Here is a 1,078-nt window from a genome sequence, read left to right as displayed (position 1 = left end):
GCCTGATGGTCTTTATTTTATTAGAGGTATCTATGGATATCTCTAATATCCTTAGATATCTTTTCTGCTCTCTCCTTAAATAATCTCAGCCTCTCACTATCTAAAGATCCTGAAGCAGATGACAGGGACATTGCTTTGGGAACATGGAAGTCGAAAAACGTAGTGCTAATCCCTCTGCTGCAAAAAGGGTTGCCAGAGACAATTTGGACACTTTCAGTGTAAGTTGCCAAGTAGTCAGAAACACACACACAAACATGGAAGCAGAATGCATTGTTCATTGAGCACTCACCATGCTAGGATCTGAGAATATGAATACAAGTGAGGCATGTGGGTTAACAAACAAAGTCTATTGGAGGAATATATGTAAATTAAGATGTTATGTGACAATTTCTGTAATAGAGATTTGTACAAAATTCTGTAGGAGAAAACACTTATTTGTTCTAAAGAGTGAGAGAAGTCTTTGGAGAGGAACTAACATTTGAAATGGGTCTTAATGAAATGTGGAGGATGTTGCAGATGAGGAATGCGGAGAATGCATAATCCTAGAGGAAACAGAGTTTTCCAAATCCTCAGCAAGCCAAAGCCTGGAGAGCTGAAAGAGACAGGACTTGGCAGCTGACTGTTCTTGGGGTTAGCTTTGTTGTAATTAGCCCAGCCTTATTTTATTCCAGTGGGAGACACAGGAGAACTTCCTTCTCCAGCTGTGGAGTAGGCTGCAAAGGCCCTCACAGGAATGGTATGTCATGTGGGTTATCATTCTCTTCCCTCCAGCATTTCCTCACCAGGACACACCCTAGCAGGTGGCTTTGCAATCATCACTGGCCTGCTCACATCAGCCCACAAAAGAATTATTTTCTGAAGGCCGAGTGCTGCTTTCCCAGTGCTCCTTCAACAGTTGGTTTACGTTACTCACCTGCAAGGCATCTTCGGATGCTCTGTGATAAGCTTTTCCTCCTCAGCACAAGTTGAGAATGAGGGCCCTGATGGGAAAGTTTCCTAGCCATCTATGTATACAACCAGAATCTAAAATAATGTTCTTAAATGCTAGGTATTCCTCTCTAAATATTTGCTTAACAAC

The 1,078-nt window shown here is 41.9% G+C and overlaps 1 annotated feature.

Annotated features, from left to right (window-relative positions):
- Nucleotides 277–778: an enhancer, noted in NCBI's record as "NANOG hESC enhancer chr18:28881307-28881808 (GRCh37/hg19 assembly coordinates)". NCBI's record gives its function as "activates a minimal SCP1, AML or CMV promoter by ChIP-STARR-seq in primed H9 embryonic stem cells {active_cell/tissue: H9 hESC(primed)}" and the evidence as "EXISTENCE:reporter gene assay evidence [ECO:0000049][PMID:30033119]".

This window comes from Homo sapiens, chromosome 18, assembly GCF_000001405.40.
Source record: "Homo sapiens chromosome 18, GRCh38.p14 Primary Assembly".
NCBI lineage: Eukaryota > Metazoa > Chordata > Mammalia > Primates > Hominidae > Homo > Homo sapiens.
This window is presented reverse-complemented; position numbering and strand designations above follow the sequence as displayed.